This window comes from Homo sapiens, chromosome 1 (assembly GCF_000001405.40).
Source record: "Homo sapiens chromosome 1, GRCh38.p14 Primary Assembly".
NCBI lineage: Eukaryota > Metazoa > Chordata > Mammalia > Primates > Hominidae > Homo > Homo sapiens.
Window position 1 is genome coordinate 178,849,143 of NC_000001.11, and position 22,244 is coordinate 178,871,386.

The 22,244-nt window shown below is 34.0% G+C and overlaps 2 protein-coding genes across 13 annotated transcripts in view; one reads left to right on the forward strand and one right to left on the reverse strand.

The window, feature by feature from the left end:
• Nucleotides 1–22,244, forward strand: part of RALGPS2 (Ral GEF with PH domain and SH3 binding motif 2) — a 196,597-nt gene that overhangs the window by 123,899 nt on the left and 50,454 nt on the right. The gene's annotated exons all lie outside the window — the stretch shown is intronic.
• ANGPTL1 (angiopoietin like 1) lies at nt 393–21,935 on the reverse strand. 4 transcript variants are annotated; one of them, NM_004673.4, is made up of 6 exons: nt 21,599–21,935; nt 19,972–20,081; nt 15,812–16,660; nt 4,452–4,645; nt 3,541–3,811; nt 393–2,174 (listed from the first exon to the last, which is right to left on the reverse strand). In NM_004673.4, exons 3-6 carry the CDS (start codon nt 16,632–16,634, stop codon nt 1,987–1,989), a joined length of 1,476 nt encoding a protein of 491 aa, NP_004664.1. In that variant the 5' UTR covers nt 16,635–16,660; nt 19,972–20,081; nt 21,599–21,935; the 3' UTR covers nt 393–1,986. The 4 variants fall into 4 exon arrangements, 3 of the variants coding, with proteins under 3 accessions (NP_004664.1, NP_001363692.1, XP_047289667.1); NM_001376763.1 differs by lacking the exon at nt 19,972–20,081; XM_047433711.1 differs by lacking the exon at nt 21,599–21,935 and having other exon boundaries at nt 19,972–20,187.

Genomic DNA, 22,244 nt, shown 5'->3' on the forward strand with positions numbered 1-22,244 from the left:
CATTTTATAGATTCAGGCTGAGATAGGAGTTTATAAATTGCTCAAGGTAACACAGCTAGCAAGTGGTAGAGCTGGGCCACAGACCCAAGCAGTTCTGACTTCAGAACCTACACTAACTATCATATAATACCGCTTCTTATTCTCTCCTCTCAAGAAACTTAGTTGCCCAAGTTATTATGCTGTCTAGGAACTTCAGAGTAAAATAAATCAGCTCTCTGAAGGAGAGCAGAATGGGCCCATTGGCTAAGGCAGTTTAGCATTCAGCCTAGTTTTCCAAGGTTGTATGTTGACTTTCAAATTCTAGTTTTAATGATATTCTTCTGTGAAAATTCTGTAAGGCTTGTCTTTGATAAAGTTTTGGGTGTTTAAATGAAATGATATACTGCTTTCAATAACTGAGAAGCCTTGGTAAAGTTTTATTCACTTAAGATTTGGTGTAACAGTTAGATGCCCAGTTCCTTCCAGGAATCTTATAACAGATTCTTTGGTTCTGAAGGAAGTGGAGAGGGACTGAAAAACCAGTTTAAGATGACCACAGGTAAAACAAAGAATAATACCACTATGAGGTTTGGATATTTTGTTTAATTTGTTTCACCAGAAGTTTTATTTTGAGATGTGGCAGATGAAAAACATTGGTCATGTTGATGGATTTGAGTTGTCCAAATGATTATCTTCACATTAAGCTATTCCCATGCATAGTTTGCCTCACACATTTCAATTCGAGGTTTTCTTTTTGCTTAAGCAAAAGTTTCATGAGCTATCTTTAAAATTTTAACTTCACAAATATATTAAGGCAAGGTCACCTCTAAGCAGTGAATATGTATTCCTGAAAGGAAATTGTTCCAGAAAGTCACTAGTAAAGTTGTTGATTGCAAAGATGAGTTAAAGACACTGTGAGACTAAGCGTTACATACACTGTAAAATGAAATTAGCAGTTTGGACTAAGCTATGCCCCTGTGGCTTCTGCTCTGGAGCTGTTGAATTCTCAGTATCGGGAAAACAGCCAACAGTTCCTTGAGTTTGTTTTAGTCCCACCTGTTCTGAGCATGCACTAATACTTGTAAAGCTGTCCAAACTTTCTGATTTGAATTGCAGATTGGTTGGGTTTTTTTTTCTTTGTAGTAGTAAGATCAGTAAATTAGAAAAAAAGTAATAATAAATTAGAACTATAATTCAGATCTGTAGCACACTAAATATTCTGCATTTTTGTAATACCAATATTTTGCTGATTTTAGAACTACATAAAATGCATTTCTGGAGATTTTGGTGTTCAGCATATCATATGAAGATAACACTGAAAAATTCATTCATAGATTTGTCTTTATAAATTGACCATTTAAATTATGCATGCATTATTTTTGGGTTTTTTTTTATTTTTAAAAATGATATGTATTTAATACTATGGGTCATGTTTTGGGAAAATCAGCATAGGATATATTATTAAGAATTCAGATTTAATCATTACGTGTGAAAGGCACAAATTCAATTTGAAATAACTTTTATTCAATGGAAGAAGCATTTTCTATTGGCAAAACTAGAGGTTTCTCCCTAATTTTCTGTCTGTATTTTTATAAATAAAATGCATTATTTGGCTGAAATTTTAAAAATATTTTTTTCACTAGACGTTAGAGCAATCTTAGATTTTAAATAAATTGTTAAGTATCTTGAACATGTTATTTATGATTTAAAATATAGCTAAGATTTGCTTTACATTGTGGCAAATATTTACATTTTAGAAAACAAACTTTGTATTTAGTCAACATAATTTTTAAAATAACTAGGTTGTGGATACACATAATTTTCTGCAGTAATTGACGACAGATGAAACTACATTTATAGGTTCCCTTTTATAGTTACGGTAAAATTCATTTTAAAAACTTTCTGTGTAGAAATAAATTGTGCCAAGTAATATACATGTAACATTTACATTTTTAAGAGCTGAAAAGTACAAAGTTCTGTGTCATTTAAATTGGCGAGTGTCTCTCTTCAGTCAATAGGCTTGATCATCATCTGAACTGCTCTTAAGGAGTATGACCCGCCTCTGTATTCGGCCCAGAAAATTCCATCTTGGTGCTTGCTTCTGTAATGGCCTCCTCTGTACCATACTCCATTTAGGTTAGAATGTGCACAGGCATTGTACCACCAGCCTCCTTTATGAAAGTGGGCGCAGTTTCCTTTGAGGAAAAAATACAGATATAAATGTAAAAGTTTCTTCTAGGTGTGGTACTCTGCAATCATAAAAAACTTATTCTACCTTTAATTTGAACTTCCCTTACTAATCCCAGTTACCTTTATCTCAGCAGTTTTAAATGCCTTCACTTACTTGATGGCTGTTGCATCAACTGCTTGAAAAATCACTTGAATTGCCTTTTTTTAACTCTTTGCTTGCTTACAATGTACTTTTTTAAAAAGGGGGATTTAATTTTCTAGTTAGCAGAGTAGATGCAAGCAGTGTTTATATGTGAAAGAGTTACAGAGGGAGAAATTGGGAAGGAAAGATACAGAAGAAGATAAAAGTCTGAGGAAAATTGAATTGTCAAAATAAAATAGCAAAAAATAATACAAAGTAAAATAAAACCAGCAGTCAAATGGGTTTCTGTAAATAAGACATATGTTATGGTCTATCTCTCCTCTTTTCTCGTTTACCAGTGTAAAATTGGTTAAAATAGAGACCTGTGTGCTGTTTGCCAAAATACAGCTGGAGAGAAAAACCAGTTTGGGACAGGGATGGGGGAGAATTGTTGGGTGGAGGGGAGGAGGGGATCTCTGTATCAGGACGAGAAGAAACCTGGGTTAAAAAGTCAAAAGCATATGAAAACTAAATTTGAAATTATGTGGATGGTCTAGTTGTTTCTTTCTAATGAAAATATTAATTTCCCCTTTGAATCAAGCTTTTTTGTTATTCCTATGCCACATGTCACAGTCATCTTGGTTTTCCCCCTCAAAGAAATGCTCTTACACCATGTATCCAAATGGCTTGCATCCTTCATTTCTTGCGACTCTTTATTCAAATGTTGCTTTCTCACAGCAGATTTTCCTGGCGAACCCATATAAAATAGCTGCCATCCCAGGCCTTGCTGCCCACCACTTTCTATTTTCTTACTCAGTTTTATTTTTGAGAGTACTTATTCCCACCTAACAAATTGTTTTGTCTCTCCTCCAGTGAGTAAGCTCCAAAGGGCGGGAACTTTGTTCACTGTTATATCCCTAGCACCTACAACAGTGCCTGGCACGTGGTAGGTGTTCAGTTAGTATTTGTTATGAATTGTAGGCACTTGCATTTTATTTCCAGATTAATGTGTTTCTGTTTTGCTTTGTGTTTTTTTCCCAGAACTTTGTTTTTCACATAGATCACACTTTGGGATTGCCTTATAGAAGAAATCCTAAAAGCTATTTCTTTCAGTAGGTTGGTTGTATTTCCTGCCACAGTGACCAAAACTGACCTTTTTGAAAAGACTTTAGTAGCATATATATTAGTAGATTCTATTTAATGCATAGAAGGTGATGATTCTACAAAGAATGAAAGTTTTTCATACTTACCTGCATACATATCTTTATCTCTGTCCAGTGTGGTGAATTGTTTACCATTATGCCACATCATAGAATCCCCTGCATTTCCCTGGTAAGTTCCCAGGCGCAGTCTATAGAATTCACTTTCAGGTTCCAGACGAAAGCTGCTGTATTCTGCATAGACTTTTTTATCACTCCAGTCTTCTAATTCAATCAATAACTTGTAATTATCTTGATTGCTAAGCATATAGATATTTTCCAGTCCAAGCCAGTATTCTCCGTCAATGTTTCCAAACCCTTTCTGTTAATAAGTGAAGAAACATGAGTGCATAAATAAGTATAGAGATAGTAAACATTTTTACAGAGCAGTGTTAAACATTCGATAGCATAAAGATACTGGCCATTTAAGTGGTAATGTGAGCTTCCATTTTAGTTGGTCACTTGCGTTTTATAAGCCACACATTGTCATTCTCTTTTTGTTTGTTTGTTTTTTGCTTCTGATATGTCAGTATTCATTTGCATAGCTAGCTTCAAATCCTACAAATAAGACAATGCAAATGAGAATAAAATTTATCCATAGCTACTAAAAATATTAGCTAGTATACTACCCAGATCCTTAAAAAGGGTTCCTGGTCTCTCTCATATTCATCTAAAGAGCCCAACATTTTTTTCCTAATAGTAATCTTTGTAAAGTAGTAAGTATAAGTCATCCAGACTGAAAGGGATCATTTAAAAGTATATCTTCTGTTTCCTTTTTGCAATTTAATTTTGACTTTAAAACCAGAGATGAGAATCATTTTTTTGACAGATGTAGATAATGAAAAAACATATGGATAGTTATTTTTAACTGTGTGTCTTATTTATTGCATAGCATCTTGTTTCTTGCATTATTGCAAGAATGGATTTGTTTTACTTCCCTTAGGTCTGCATCACTGATTTACCTTATAATTTTCCCAATTTCTGAAGAAGTTGACAGAGCCGTCTGTTCTTTTCTGAATAACAGTCCAACCCCCAGGGTCCAAACTGTTTTCACACCATAACTGCATTGGTCCATTGCTGTTTTCAGGTTTAATCATATAAATCCCACTGACCGAATGCCCAGCTTCTTTTGCTTGCTGACAGTCTTTGAATGGTCCTATAATTTAAATATCATTTATTATCAGCAAACTTAATATGAGAAGAGACATGTTAAAAGTTTTTAATCAAGATTTTTACCTTTGTGTCTTTGTTTACAGTTACCATTGTTTATCATATATACAATATTATAAAATATAACTAAATAAAAGGGTGACTCCAGTTCTATCTGGAACATTAATTTGTTTCGTTTTCATCTGTTCTTTTCTTTTCCATATATGTATTTTTTATATTGTTATAATCCTAATACATGTAGAAAATTGGATTCTGTCTTAACATTTTCATGCAGCTATAGTCTCCATTCTAGCTGCATAATAATCCTTGACATTGATATATTTTTATCCTTCTATCATTGGACATTGAGGTTTTATGGATTTTTGCTATTATAAAAACACTGCACAAAGTGTCTTCATTCTTATTGAATTCATTTTTTAATATTATAAAAATGCTGAGGGATCGATCTACTGGATCAGAGGATATCAGTTTATTCATAGTCCTACATAATACCCAAGTTACAGTTTTGGAAATTTGATTTCAGTGGAACATACTAGTACCTTGAGATACTCATTGCAAATGGGGTCAGTCAAATAAGTTTTAGAAATGCAAAATATTATGTTTCCCTTTTGGAAATTCTCAATGTACATTCACATATTAAAGACTGAAAAGCCCTGAAATAAACCAGATGCCCAAACTCATAGAATCTTAAATTTCCCCCAACAACACTTACTAACAGCCCATGAGAATACATTTCAGGAATGTTAGCATAAATGAGTATCTAAAGAGTTGTATCAATCTGTATGACTAATAGTAATTTTCTCATTTAACCTACAGTTACCTGGTGATAGTTGATAGATGTTCTAGAGATAGAACGATTAACTAAGGTCATGTATCACAGAAGATGGTAAACCCTAGATAGACATAAATCCTTGTCTAATCCCAGAGTCCCTGCTCTGAACTGCTGTGTTGCATGCATTTGCCCTCATGTTATTTCATAATTTTAGGTATTCTCCATTTTTAATCCACTAATAATTTCTTCAAATTTTACAAGTGACAACACATTTTGTGAAATTACTTTTAGGGTGTCTGACTCTTGAACTTGAGATTTCCACATTTTTGGATCAGGTGAATATCATCCTTCTCCAGTGTTTCGAGCCTTTTTTATAAACATGCAAAATATATTAATGGATTTAGAAAAAAGAATTACCCTAAAGATCTCTTAGAACAAAAAATGTATAAAAATTCTGATTGTCAAATTTTATATTTTACTAGAAATATGTGAGAGTTTAGTCAAGTAAAGTTCTTAACAAGAATTTCTGTACTATAAGGATAATAGGATTGTTGAAATTTTGAGAAATGTGTTATCTATACTTTGCCAGATATGTACAGTATTCCTTTTGGGTCTTACTGGGATAGAATTAATCTCATTAGGTAGTTACACAACTATAACAATAGAAGGGATTCTTAGAGACTATGATCTCTTCCTTGTAGATTGTTCCGTGAGGACAGAGACTTTTTTTTTTTTTTTTTACTTCATATCATCAGTGTTTAAACCCTTAGGAAACTGTCTATAATTTTTTGTTGATTAAATTTCTCATTTTAAATACAAGGAAATTGAAAAGTACACGCAAAAATCAAGAGGACATCAGTTTCTCTAGTCCAAATGTTTATTATAGTTCATTGATATTTTTCTCTTAAATTTTTAAAAATTATAATGCAATATCCATAAGTAGTACAGACTAGTAAAAATTTGAGAAACTGGAAAGCCTTATTTATGGTGTCTTTCCTGCGTTATATTTATTTTAGGTATTGTATTTTTTAGTTCTAGAGTTGCAATTTGATTTTTTATAGTTTTTATTTCTCTTTTGAGATGCCCTATCTTTGCATTCGTTATAAACATATTTTCCTTTAAGACATTGAAAATAGCTACAACCACTACTTTAAAATTATTGTCCTTTCAGTTCCAAGTTTGCTGAGAGTTTTTATCATGAATGGATTTTGGATTTTTTCAAAGGCTTTTAAAATCTTTTCTTTTTTAATTTCTTTTCTAACTAGACACATCACAGGAATCAAAGGCTTTTTATCTGCCTATTGAGATGATGATAGGGTTTTTCTTTTTGTTGTTTGTTAATACACGAATTACATTGAATATATATACATTTTATATATAATATCTAATATAAGAACAAAAAAGTAATATATATAAGAACAAAATATATATATTAGAACAAAGAATGTATAAAAATTCTGATTGTCAAATTTTATATTTTACTAGAAATATGTGAGAGTTTAGTCAAGTAAAAGTTCTGTACGATAAGGATAATAGTTTTATCCTTATAAGAATTTCTGTACTATAAGGAGAATAGGATTGTTGAAATTTTGAGAACTGTGTTACCTGTACTTTTCCAGAGAGAGAGAGATATATATATATATATATATATATATATATATGGTTTTGGGTTTTGTTTTTTTTGGAGCCTGTTTCCCAGGCTGGAGTGCAGTGGTGTAGTCATAGCTCACCACAGCCTCGAACTTCTGGGCTCAAGTGATCCTCCCACCTCAGCCTCCCAAGTAGCTAGGACTACAGGCAAGTGCCACCCTGCCTGGCTAATTTTTTTTTTTTTTTTTTTTTTTTTTTTTTTTGAGAGATGAGGTCTTGGTACATTGCCCAGGGTGGTCTTGAACTCCAGGTCTCAAGTGAACTCCAGGTCTCAAGTCGGACTTCAGACTCCCAAAGTGTTGGGATTGCAGGCATGAGCCACTCCACCCAGCCTTTACATTGATTGTATTTTGAATGTTAAACCAACTTTGTGCTTCTGGGATAGACTCAACTTAGTGAACGTATTCAGAGCCCTTAACACTATACCCAACAAAGTAGTCATCATCGGTAATTGTTAGTTATTTCGTTTCTCCTTTATTCCTCATCTTAACACATAATTGTAGCTTATTTAATAAAGTAGCTTATTTAATGTCTGCTTATTTAATAAATTTAATATAGCTCATCAAAGATGAATGTACAGTCATTTCTACTGCAGATAAATATTACTGAAAAACCTCATGTTCTGCAAATTCATGCGTTAAAAATAGTAGCCAATTTTAGCTCTTAACATAATTTGTATTCAGCTGCAGTTACCTGTGGCACAAAACATTAATGTGCTTGGAAAAAATCCCATGTAAACCAGTATAACCTCTCTGTTTTGCTACCACTATTCTCCTTTTCACTAGTCACATATGGGCTACTTCACATTATAGAAACATGCATTGTAGTCAAGTAGGAAGGAAGGGTAAAGAGCCTATATTTCAGAAAAGATGAAATTTACAGAATTTTAATTTCTTATGTGGGAGTGAGATGGAAGGAAAAGTAAATTATGACTCCCAGGTTCATACTTAGATTATTGCGTGTAATGCAGGTAGTATATTTGTATACTTACAGTATTCATAGGCAAGGACTTTATCTTTCAGTATGTATCCACAGTTTGAGCCCACTTAGGAATTCAGATATGTAGATATGAAACTATGTGATTCCTAGTAGGCATGGTTCCCAGAATTCCCTTAGTTCTGCATTATTCTTTCAAGAAATGTCTTTTCTGCATCTACTACAGGCTAAGGACTGTTTTAGGCTCAAGGGATAAAGAAACAACCTTAGAGTCAAGTGGGGGGTGGGAGAAGTCACAAGAAAGAGAGAATTCCACTATAATATGACAAGTACTTTGATGGAGTTATGTAGCGCACATGGTAGCAAAGTCTAAGAACTAGCTGAGATATCTGAGGAGCATTGCTCTTACTTTAAAACCTATTAGTATTATAGTTAATGCACACATGAAAGTAGTTTTGTTACAACATATATATATTTATCTCATTTTATAAATTTGCATATTCTGTAAATGTTATGCTTATTGCTTATTCTATGAATATCATTTTCGTAAATGTTTACTCTGCATTCATTTGAGTATAGTTTTGACAGTTTACATTTAAGTATATATTCAAAGGTTGGACTTTTATTAGGTTATTTGCTTTGCTGCAGAATATTTAGAAACATCAGTGTTCTGAATGTTGACAGAATATTTGTCAAGTATCATTTGTTCCATAGAGCTATACTCATTTTTTGCTATTTAATAGACACTCAGATGTTTAAAGCAAAATAGAGAGTTCTGGTTTTCTGAATCCAGCTTTGATTTCATAAGACTTCAATTATGCAAATTTAAGATTATCTTCAGCTTTAATTTTCAACCCATGTTTTGCAGTGGGCTTTGTGTTTACAGTTGGATATCTGTTAGACTTAGGGAAATGTAGTTGAAGTTCTTTTCCAGAACATATGGATAAAATTTAGCAGTGCCTAAAGCTATTTTTTTCTCCTCAGTAAAGATATTAGATATCAGAATTCAATATTTATTTGTATTTATTTTTATAAACATACCATTAACCTGTCTTAGTCCAGTGTATATTGTTGATCCTAGCAGAAATATTTTCTCATTATTACTTGAAAATCTTATTTACTTTCTGCCCTAAAATTAGATTCTCTATTGTCCCTATCTTAAATGTTTTCACTGCTTTTTCTGTACCATAAAGAACATTGCTTGAAAGAAATTAATGACAAATAGAAAATTTTAAGCTTTATTCTTGAGAAGCCAGATTTAATTCACAGGTTTGCATATTTTCAGAAATAAATTGATTGATCTGTGAATCAGGAATTTGTTCATGATGATTCAAAAGGTATAAACTGGAATTACCTTTCTTTTAAACTAAGCATAGTATCAACTATTTTTTGCAAGAGTCTTCTCAAAGCAGGCAACTGGAATTCTGTACATTGAATTTGAAGAACCAGTCTCTCTGTTCCTCAATTTATGTGAGGATTAAAGTTTACATAGGGCTAATGAAACCATATTAATACCTCTGATTTATAGAAAGAAAAATGTTGACCAGTCATGCCACATTATTTCCCAAGGTGTATTTATTAAGAACCCATATTTTGAATAGAACAGTGAGTTAAAAAAGAAAAAAGGATTTCACACTTTGAATAGCAGCTTTACTGGGAGCCATCTGTAACATATGTGTTCTTTTTCTGTAAAAAGAGCTTTTACAAAGAGAATTACAGATTACAAAGAGAATCCTTTTTATGACAGGAGAAACAGTAAACCAATTCAGAGCTTTCAAATTATTGGTTACCAAGTAGGATCTTTTGAGAGGTAAACTTTTCAGTTGGGTTGTGCATTAACTTTCAGTTAAATATATTCAACATTTCTGGAGTGGGAAGTTTGAGACAAATACTTTCTGAAGTGACAGTAGGGTCTTTCTGTAATAATATGAATTACTTAGTTTATTAATCTGTATGTTTAAACTGTATTTAGCAACCCAAACTTTTAATTATTAAAGAATTTATCAATTACGTTCTCATAACTGGCTAATACAGTCATTTTCCAACAGCACCTTGGCTTAACTAGTTTTTTTGTTTTGTATTAAATGTTAGTATAAGTATTCCATTGAAACCAATTATACCTAAAAAGTATATTAAGAAGCATTATAAATAATTTGAAAAATGTAAATATTTGGTGATTTAAAATAAGCCTACCACTAAAAAGCATATTTTTAGTTTCTAATGACTACTTTCCAAGTTTAACTTTTTTTTTTTTTTTTTTTTTGAGACGGAGTCTCGCTCTGTCGCCAGGCTGGAGTGCAGTGTCACGATCTCGGCTCACTGCAACCTCCGCCTCCCGAGTTCAAGCAATTTTCCTGCCTCAGCCTCCCAAGTAGCTGGGATTACAGGCGCCCGCCACTACGAAGTTTTAACTTTTTAAGCTTACCATTTATGTCCTCATATACCTAATATGACAAGGAAAGACACATAAAGGGAAGTGTACAAAATATGCAATGATTAATGGTGGTCAAACCATGCCACATCATACACGAAGCACTTTTTTTTTTTTTTTTTTTTTGAGACGGAGTCTCGCTCTGTCGCCAGGCTGGAGTGCAGTGTCGCGATCTCGGCTCACTGCAAGCTCTGCCTCCCGGGTTCATGCCATTCTCCTGCCTCTGCCCGCCCCCCCCCCCCCAACCGCCCAAGTAGCTGGGACTACAGGCGCCCGCCACCACGCCTGGCTAATTTTTTTGTATTTTTGGTAGAGACGGGGTTTCGCCATGTTAGCCAGGATGGTCTCGATCTCCTGACCTCGTGATCCACCCGTCTCGGCTACACAAAGCACTTCTACCTGTACCCCCTCATTTAATCATCACAACAATTTATTTTACAAAAGAGGCAACTGGACCCCAGAAAGCTTTGCCAGAATCCAAGTTTACTGATACTCAGATCTATGCTTTTACACATGGTGAAGGAACTTTCTCCACTCAGCTCTCCTACAAGGAATAAACTTGTTTTTATAAATACGCTATTTGTAAAAGAGTAATTTTTTTTAATAAAAGACTAACCCAAAATGCAGGCACCAAATAACATTAATAGTTAAGAATTTCATTGATTGCAGCTTGTCAGGTGTATTATTACATTCTCAAACATTTTGTTTTTAAGGTAGAGAAGAAGGTAATGTGTTTGAAAAATGTTTTTTATCTAAATACTATTTTTTATAACTTCATGGGTTTTTTGAGGTAGATTTTTCTTATAACCATTTTTAAAGAAAATAAAAGATTGTCATAACATCTTTTATAAAATGTGATATGCATAATTACTGTCTTCACCATTTTTAAATGTACAGTTTATTGGCATTAAGAACATTTATATTGTACAGCCATCACCACCATCCTTCTCCAGAACTCTTCATCTTGCAAAACTGTAACTATTAAATAACCATTAAACAACTCCCCATTCACCCTCCGCCTAACATCTGGCAGCCACAATTCTACTTTCTGTCTATGAATTTGACCACTCTAAATACTTCATATAAGTAGAGTCTCATACAGTGTTTATCTTTTGTAACTGGCTAAACACCTCTTAAAATATACATTGTTGTATATTTTCACCTTATGCATGTGGAGACTTTAGAATGACCATGTACCTCCATGTAAAGTACAGTAATAGGAATTTCTTGGTGCCAGAGCATACATAAGTACACCAGTAGCCATCCATCTTTACCCTTTTTGTGCAAGCACCTAAACAGCCTGAGACATTTTTTTCCAGACAGATGTAAAAATAACATAAGTGAATAATTGAGCACATTGTGTAAGGAAAATAGCCAGCCTATTTGTTGTTGCTTGTAGTAATTTAATTTAGTAAGCATCACAGAATATTAGAATTTGAAAAGGATATTAGAATAATCCAGTCCAGCACTCTCATTATACAAATGAGAAAACACAAACTGGCAGTGACTTACCCAAGGTCACATAACAAAGGTAGTGGTAGAACCAGGTGTTCTTAATTCCATGCTCTTTCCCTTATATGTTCATTAATGTACTAATTAGTATAGTAATTCTTATGGTCTAGCAGATTATCCCTTTGAATTTAAGAGATCCACATTTATAGAATAAAATAAGTAAAAAGTTAATGTTTACATAAAACAAATAATGAATAACAGAAAAAGTTATCTGCCCTTAATTTTTGTGTTAAAGAAAGTTTCACTGGGGATAGGTACACCATGTTTTCATTAAAACAAAATGTGTTTAAGAGGACTTTTGACATACTAAATCCCTAATATGAGGTTTAATTCTGTAGCATTCGTGGGTTTTTTTTTTTGTACTAATGCTAAGTGTATAATAAAACATAGAATTGGTATGTTTCATTTTGTATAAACATTTTCTTAGAAAAGTTTGTCAGTGTTTAAAAATGTGAATAGTGATTTCTGCTAGAATTGGTTATACCATCCACTCAAGCTTCAGGGATCACATAGAATACTCCATGGCAGTTGTCTTCATACTTACATAATTGTATACCTCATCAGTTAAAAAAATTCACACAGCTCAATTATGTTTATTTATAACTTACGTATACAAACTACTGATAAATTATATAAAAGCTTACATAAAACAAAATTTTTAAAGGATATCAAAAGCAATTTTTTTTCTGTTTTTTATTTCTATACCCAGTGGGTCACTTTATACACTGCATTTTCCTTTGGAAATCAAAGGGATTGAGGTTTGTTTGTTGTTGTTGTAGTTGTTGTTGTTGTTTGAGTCTCACTCTGTTGCCCAGGCTGGAGTGCAGTGGTGCGATCTCGGCTCACTGCAACCTCCGCCCCCCAGGTTCAAGTGATTCTCCTGCCTCAGCCTCCTGAATAGCTAGGATTACAGGCACGCACCACCATGCCCAATACTTTTTTGTATTTTTAGTAGAGACGGGGTTTCACCATGTTGGCCAGGCTGGTCTCAAACTCCTGACCTCAAGTGATCCGTCTGCCTCGGCCTCCGAAAGTGTTGAGATTACAGGCATGAGCCACCATGCCCGGCGAGGATATTAATAATGATAATCATTTACTTAATTTAATGATACTCTGGCCTATTGCTACTGTAACTTAGAACAGTATAAAATGAACAAATCCAATATGATATAACGTATTAAATTACTTTCATGAGGGTCTTTGGAATGACAATTTTAAGAAGCTCTATAAAAATGTCACCAAATCAACTAACACATATTTAGCAACTGCAGGTAAGACACTGTAACCATCTACCAGGAAGGAGCTTATAATATAGTTGGAAAGCCTCTTAGTTAGATGTATTCTGAGTGTATGTAAAGATAATTGATAATTTAAGAGGGACTATACAAAATGTCTTATGTATGTTACAGAGAGTAGAGGTATTCATGGAGAGGAACGATCACTTCAAACCTGTAGGCGTCAACAAGGGCCTCAAGGAGGAGTTGCATTTTTTTTATTTATTTATTTATTTATTTATTTATTTATTTATTTGGTTGGTTGGTTGGTTGGTTTGGCTTGAGCCTTATTCTTTGAGTAGGCAGAAAGCATGAAAATATTTAGGGGAAAATGAGTGAATTTGTTTTATTGGAACAGATGGTTTTTGTGAAGGAAACTAGTGGAAGGTCCGCTAGGAAAGTAGGCTTCATTCTTTAGGAGGACATTATTCTTAGCCAGACTAAGCAAATTGGACTTTTTCTGTTTGCAGAAGCAGATATGTGAGTAGTTTAAGAAGATGAATCTGCTGGCAATGTAAATATATTTTGATGGAGAGAGAAAACAGAGTTACACCAGTTGGCAAGCTATTACACAGTTCATAGTAAGAACTAACATTTGAGTGCCAGGCACTGTTCTAAGCACTCTTCAATTGTTAAATCTTATGCAGTAAATACTGTTATTCCCATTTCACAGGTAAGGAAACTGAGGCACAGATAATTTTCTTTCCCCTAAGATCACACAGCTGGTAGCCTATGGAGTCTCTGTCTTCTAGCTGCTGCTGTGGATCATTTGAATCTAAACAAGAGTTCTGGCTCTGAATAGAAATGAGGGACATGCACACAAGAGACCAAAAAGGGGACATGAGTAGAATTCAGTGGACTGTGTATGGGGCAGCTGGGGAAGTATCAAAGATGAGCCAAGCTTATTTGGAAATGGATGACAACATTAATCAAAACAGAGATGTTGAGATCAAATGGTGAAAAGACAGTTAACTGTCTTCCAGAAGCATTCAGACCAGCAAGGAGACAGACATAAATAAATAACTTCAGTGTAATATCATATAGAAAACATGTTTAAGAAATAGTCAGTGATTTGGGGAAAAAGCCACCTAGGTGTGTTTGTTTGAATCTAGGAAGTCATAACATCAGAGGTATTATTTGAGTTAAGCCTTGAGATCTGCTAAATTGACGACAGATAAGCTGAAAGAAGGTGTTTCAGTAAAGAAAGCAGTAGCATGTGAGGTAATGGTGAAATATCCAAATGCAAACGTCTAGCTTTGGTTAAATCAGGAGGGAGAGCTACATTCAGGAATCATCTGAGCAGTGGTGATACTTGAAGCCAAAATACTCTAAAGTAGAATATCTTGAAGAAAGACTTTAAGGCATAGAAGGAAGAAGATGCCAGTGAAGGACCTAAAGAAATAGGAAGTGAAGGAAGAATATTAAAATGTAGAAGGCCAGGAAAGCAGGGCTGTGAATAGCGAAGTGGTATTCACTGACAGAGAGATGAAACCACTTCATGATATATTTCTTTCTAGTCTTTAGTCTGTGTTTTTATTGTTATTGTTTAAAATTATTTCATAGTATATGTTTTATGTCCTGCCTTTTCAATAAGTGAATGAGCTGCAATTTATTTACTCGTTGCTTTGGGGCATTTGGGTTTTCCCTTCCACTCTAAGGAAGCAAATCAGCTTGTAAAGGATTCTGGGGAATGAGTTGTGAGAAAATGGATGCAAGTGTAAAATAAACATAAAATACTGAATTCAGAAAGTTAGCAGTGGGTTTAGTAAACTGAAACAAAGATGAATTATTCATCTTTGCTTTCTGGACACCTAGATCAGTGACTGACATTGAATGCATGAAGAGAGAAAGAAATGAAATTTAAAAGTAGAGTTTGGAATCATGCATGATCAATGCAATAGTTTTTTTTTATAATAATGAACATTTATATTTCTTAGGATACACAGTACTAATTGTTTAGCCTTGGAAAATAGGAGGGATACCTTTTCTTGAGGCTGACGGCAAGAAGGCATGGCTTTTGTACAGATGCTTTCAAGATAAGAAAGAACAAAACCCAGGACCTGATTAGACTTACTCAGTATAGTAGTAGTTGAGTCATCTGCTGAGAGTGGAGATAATGAGGTGTAATTACAGCTTGAAGAGAGTGAAAGCAAAATTTTACATGTTTCTTTTGAAGAAGATGATGTACAAGCAGCAGGAAGTAAATAAAAGAATTGTCGGGTAGCAGCGACGACCTAGCTAGAAGCTGATAGGATGGTTATGGTGCACAGGAGTGGTTCGGAGTGGAGCATGTACTTATTCCTGTCTCAAGAATAGTAGCCCCTCGATCATAAGAATTTGGATGGAAGACTGGTTTTTTTCACAGAATACATTAAGTTTTTATAAACTCCTGGAACTTCAGAGCTGGAAGAGGAGATGTATTTAAGTTCAATTCTTGATATTAATAAAAAACAATAGAAATTTTAATGTACATATATAACATCGCAAAATGAATAAGCATTTATTATGAGCATTGTTTCATAAGGCATAAAAATATAAACCTCATACTCCCACTTTTTACAGTAAGAGGTAACTCACCTTCATTGATGAAAGTTACCGGTGGTATCTTGAAAGGGCTTTTGGTGGGAGAAGTTGCCAGATCAGGTGGTGGCATTAAATCTCTGGGATAACCTGGATCCCTCTGAATCTCGTTACCTCCCAGCAGACCAGGAGTATACTGTTGGCTGTTAGGAATATGTTGTGGCACCACCTGGACAAGTGGGGGAGACACATGGGTGTCTTGTCGGGAAAATATCCTCAAGCACTGTTCTTCCAACAAAGTGATCATCACAGATTGGTTATTGACAAGATCAGTCAAGGAAGCGTATTTCACCTCTAGTTCCCTGTATCTTGTTGCCATCTTCAACATTTCTGTGGTGACATTGAGGATTTTGTTTTCCAGTTGGGAAAGTTCAAGTGAATTATCCCTCTTACGGATAATCTCATGTAATAATTGCATATAGAGTTGAGTAACACGAGAGTTCATGTTACGGCTTTCCTTTCTCAGCAGCTTTACCTCATTCACAATGTTTCCATCTACATCCACCACCAGTTGCAGAACATCTATCTCCCGCTTCTGCCTGGAGAGCACATCCTTCAGGTTTTCAAGGTCCATCCTGGTGATCATGTCTTTAATGGTACTTGCATCTTGCCCCTTGGTGTTGACACAGATTGGCCCTGTTATTCTTTGTTCAGGTACCAGGAATGTGTATGCACATTTCTTTGCTTCCTCTTTACCATCTGTGGCACGAGGGTATCTTCTCTGGTTTATTTTTTTAATTTTGAATTGTCCACCTCTGCAATGTCCAGTGTCCACTAGTAGGAAGAATAGCACACCTAGGGTCCAGGTAAAAGTCTTCATTTTGAAATGAGGTTGTAAAATGATGTCTTTTGAAAAACAAATCAGTGAAGGAGAAAAAGCAAAAAGAATTCATATTAATCTATGTTAAAGTCAGTAATCTTAAAAACTATCTGAGGGAAAAACTGAATATTTATTGGTGTTAATAGATTAGGCTAGAATTAACTTTATTAATTTCTTAAATTTAATATTAAGTTGTAATACTTTGGCATTTGTTTAAAGATTAGGTTTCAGAGAATAACTCTTCCAGCTACCACCTTATTGTAATCCTTTTTGTTCCCCAGTTTATTGAGCAGATTTTGGTCAGTGTCTACTCTGTGCAAAGATACGCTGCTAGTGCTGTTGAGGCTTTTGAGACCCTGATAAGATAGCTTTCTTACCTTTAAAAAGCTCACTGCCTTAAGACTATGAAAATGGTACACAGTGTTTGTAAGGCATTAATTAAAACATTCTTGCCTAACTAGTATTAAAATTACCAGGTGACTTTACTAGCCAATGTTTTAGATTCATACCATGCAATTCCAATTAAATTGATCCTCTGTAATAAATTATGTCATCTTCATTAAAATGTTCAATAAAGTTAAAGATTTTAGGGAAATCTAAACCCAGATAGTTTTAGCATCACATGCTTTTTATTTTTATAGCATCTCCTTTTGGGATTAGTGACAGGTTTTAGAATGATAGAATGCTCACAGTCATTGTGGGTAATTATATTTCCTGAACTGTAATTATATGTACTCTGAGCTTATAGATAATTCAGCAGGTTTGTTCTTCTAACAGAAGTCCTACTGAACTGTATTTTAGTAAAATGTTAGTAATTTTCTACAACCATTACCAAGGAAAGAAACTTGTCTGTAATTGAATATGAATGTCAGAGTTGGAAATGCCTTAGAGACCCTGTCATTCAAGAACCTCTTTGTACTCTGTGCATGTTGAAGGCTAAGGCCACACAAGGATTAGAACCAGGTCTAGATCGGATTCTCTGACCCATAGTCAGTATTTATAGAAGCAGCACCTATACTAAAATATGTGCTTAGAATGTTTCGTTTTTGCTGTAGCAGATGAGAAATACTTCTTTATAGTACAAATTCTTCTGAGGAAACAGTTTCAAGAGCCAAGACTTTTTCCTTTCTCTCTAGTTACCTCCCACAAGAGTAGCAGAAGTAGAATGGGTAAGGTATGTTCACTCTGTCAGATCTACTAACGAGCTGGTCTATTACAGGCCACCTTTTCACTCTTGCGAACTTCATACCTATCTGCCATTTTTGAAGGATGGCAGTGGATACCCTAAGACAGAGCTTTTCTGTCCAAATTTCCACATAAGTACCTGTTTCTTGATTTAAGAAACCAGCTCCTAAGTTGTTTATGCCTGTTGTTAATAACAACACAATAACAGTAATTAATATTTATTGAGTGCTTGTTCAGTGTTAGGCACTGTTTTAAGCCATTTTCATGTTTTACTTATCACCACAACCCTATGAAGTAGATTATTATGATCCCCACTTTCAGATGGAAAACTTGGCATCCAAAAGTTAAGTACCTTATTATCAAGAGTCACACAGGTTCATAGTGATGGAGCGAGAATTTGAATCCAGGCTGAAGACTTCAGAGTTCATGTTTTCAATCCCCTGTATTTATGTAGCTTAACACATGTTAACTATTTGCATTTATAACACTGAAGTAATGCTGTATCATTTTATAAAGGAGGAAAATCCTTGAGAAGCTAAATCACTCAAATGGGATTCAAACCTTCTACTCCTAACTTTTCTAGACCTATGATTTTTACCCTAGTCATGTCATAACCACAGAGGAGTCTTAAGTTTATGTTTCTTGTTTTTCGCTGCCTTTTCCTGGTTTATGTCCCTTTTCATTGACCGGTTACTTAATTATGCAAAAGTATTTATGGATAATTTTTGGTAGAATTTGTGTCCACGTTCTGCCAGATCATTTTTTTACATCTCAGACTCTTCTGCGGCAATTTCTTTCCTTCTGTATGTATTCTGTCAGCTGATAGTTATATATCTAACCTATGATTATGGACCCCTCCCGAAAACAAAGGTCATGTCAATGAAATATAACTCTTATGCTGTCGTCATGAAGACTACTGCTACTTTCACTTTCTAAAACCATGTTCCTTTTTTGGTATTTTTCAATTGAATAGTGTCTTCAAAATGGGTAGATAATGAAAATAAGGCAAATATAGATGGAGTATGGAGAATTATTATTATTTTACTAACAAGAGAGGGAATGAAAACAAAAGATAGGGAGGACATAACAATCTGTATTTCTATCGAGGCCTTCTTTTGCTGACTGATAGCCAAAGCACACATGGGTATTTTTTTTAGCTTTTTATGTTTTCATACCTTGCTTTCTGACATATATAGAAAATTTAGAAACAGTCATCTATTTTATTTTTAAAAATAGACTTTTACTATGTAGGAGTTACCTATACCAAAAACCAATAAAACATTTATTATATCTCCAGATTCGTGGAATTTAGATATGGGTTATTTTAAAAACTAGGGACAAGAAATAAAAGCCATCATCCTCCTGGGCACATGCATATCATTTTTCCTATATATTTAATTTAACTTACCACTGCTAAAGTCCATTCATTTTAATACTAGAATGGAAACTCTGAGATCATAAAATTATTTTACTTAAATAATATTTACTATGAAATAAACTACCAAAACAAGGAAAATGCAGGAAGTAATATAAAACTCTAAAACAAATAGAATTTTATGAGCAATATTCTGATTGAACAGCTTGTATTAATACCAGACACAGATTTTTATAAAACAGCTAAAAGCGCATCATCCAAGACTGCTGTTAGGACTTTGCATCAGTGTTGTCATTGAAGAACAAAAAACACCAAAATGCTAATCTAAATTAAAACAAAAACAGCTTCCTTGTGTGTATTCTGCCTTGGCTCATTGTGGTTCCTATAAGATTAAATCATAAGATAAATCACTGTTTACCATAAGAGAAAGTGGTCTAAATTAGCATTTAAAGGAGGCAACTAAAAGTTTAGTTTTTAAATAAATATAATTTTTTTTTAATAAATACAAAAGTATTGGCTTCACTGTCACTTAAAGCAGGGCAAGGAGCCACATTTCTTAAGTAGTAGACTAGCTACGTCAGGAGTAAAGAACTGGTTTTAAAAATACATTTACTGTTATGTTTTCTGAAAACATTCTCTTATTTAATATTTTCTCACATATGTTCAGTTTTGAAGCAAAAGATCCATAAATCTATGTTACCTCATAAAACTTTCTGTATATGTTAAAATTTTCCTAGGCCCCAAGAGAATGTTATAAATTAGTTATAGAATACTTACGTTTAAATTTAAGTCTTTACTTAGTTGTTTTTAGAAGAGAAAAAAAAGTCTTCTATGCGTTGGGTTAATTTTATTAGTAGCTTTTCTCTTCATAGTTGCTATATTGCCAGCTAGTAGAGAGAAGAAACGAAAGTCAGGATTTGCCTCCTTTCAGATGGTAAACTCACAGAGGCATTTAACTGGCTGTGTCATGCACTGAAAACAGCATGAGGCAATGAAGTTAAATTTATGAAGCATTCAGGATATGTTAGATAAAGAATTTCTAGATTGTGAAATATGTTCTGGGAAGAGACTTGAGAACAATCTAATCCCCTGGATATATTTAAGAAAAGGATAAATAGTTATCTGTGTAATTTGGGGTTCAGATTAAATGCCTGCCTTAAGACAGCGTCAGTAAGAACTGAGGCTTAATGAAGTCCTGCACTTCCCATAGCATGCAACAACAAAAAAGAGAGATGACAGTATTTCAGATCCACTGTTGCTTGGAAATTTTGTTAGAATTTCTTGTAAAATATGTGTTTAACAGAAATCCTGCCAGCATTTACAGTTTTAAATCTTTAAGGAAAGGACACAAAAGCAAAGTTGGAAAAAATTTTAGCTTTACCATTATTTGCTTGTTCAAGATTCTTAACCATTAATATCTTTAATTTTTACAAGGCTAAAGGAGCCCCAAATCTAACAAACTTAAGTGTCTTTGGTTTAAGGCATACTATTGGTAACGAGTAATTTTATCTTTAATAGTTTTTATAATGCATGTAAAAAAAGCTCCCAGATAGAATATTGAAGGAAACCTCTTATGTGTGCTTAACAAAATTATTTCTACCTAAAATATTACATATTTTTGGCCTTTTAGTCATGAATTTAATTACATCTTCTGGGTTCTTATTTTCTATTGTTAATACCACTTACATAATGCTTTTGTGTGTATATCAATAACTTAGCTTTTCCAAGTGATTCCATTTGTAGCAAGTTTAATTTCTGTCATCCAAATTAAATTACTATTACATGTAAGCCTGGAAAGCTATTTAAAATTTTGAGTTGGAACAAGAAATGCCATAGATTAATCTTAAATCTGTACAAGAATTTCTGCTTAATATTTGGTTATACTGTAATTGAGATTTTGTTGCAAAGACTTTCAACTATTTTTGTATCTTAGCTTTGTTTTATGACTACACTGAGAAATCCAACAGTTTATGTATATCTTCAGCACACACACTGTGGCTGCAGGAAGAGAAACTAATTGTGTTCACGACTATTTAGTTTGTATTCCTTTGTTTTTAATCATTGTGCTGTAAGCCTTATACATTTAATCTGTTACTTGTTAAAATTTCTTTCTACTGTCACTAAAGCACTTGTTTTCAGAAACCCAGCATGGCATGCATGTATCAGTCTGTAATCATATACACTAAACATCATTAAATTGAACCTCAAATAATGCATTAACCATTGCACAGTACTTAATGTTTTTATGTCAAGTTGCAAGATAAAACCTTTTTCAGATGAGATAAACTGTAGTATATTCCAAAGGTCTTTGTTTAGTAAAAGATTCTGAAATTTCTACTACAAATATAAAATAGTTATGCATTTGCTATACATAATATTTTTAAATAAAAGAAATATTAAATACCTTTTTGTGTCTGTTGATTCAGTGAATCCAGAAACTTGCTGCCCTTATTCTTGATTTTAAAAATCAGTGTAGAAGTTTGTTCATCTGTGACTTTAATGGCAGCTGCATTTTTGTTTTGGACCGTTGAATCCAAGCTGTAAGAAGGAACTTCTTTTTCCTTTTACAATACTAATCAATTGAATTTGACAAGCCACCTATGTAATTTTAAGTAGTATAGTGGAAGTTCTGGTCTGTGGGCCGTCTTTAATCCAGCAGAGAAAGCGTTGTGGCTTTGCTCTGTCTGCCACATGGAGAAATGCAGTAACCAGCTGCAGCTGACCCAGATTGTATATACAGTACCCCTGAATAGTGATTCCCTCTTTCTCAGTAGACTCAAGTTCAGCCCACATATTACATCACCAAAAATTGCTGGAGACTGGGGGCGGGAATCTCCTTAGGATTTCCTCTTTGTAGCCTTAAATAGGGGGGTGGGATCAGCAGGAGGTTGAATAGTTTTGAACAAGGAGAGATTGTGTGCAGGTTGAAGGAAGGGCACCATCTGGAAACAAACTATCATAGTTCAGCGGGCAATTATAAAACAAACATTTTAGTCTGCTGGCCAGAGATCTTTTAAGTTGAATACCGAAAAAAAAAATAGTGCTCCACT

Coding starts and splice junctions, on each gene's coding strand:
- ANGPTL1 (NM_001376763.1), bottom strand. CDS start 16,634: ATGAAGACTTTTACCTGGACCCTAGGTGTGCTATTCTTCCTACTAGTG. Junction 4,646..15,811: donor GGTAACTTTCATCAATGAAG/GTGAGTTACCTC, acceptor TTTAAATTATAG/GACCATTCAAAGACTGTCAG. Junction 3,812..4,451: donor GAAATTGGGAAAATTATAAG/GTAAATCAGTGA, acceptor ACTTATTAACAG/AAAGGGTTTGGAAACATTGA.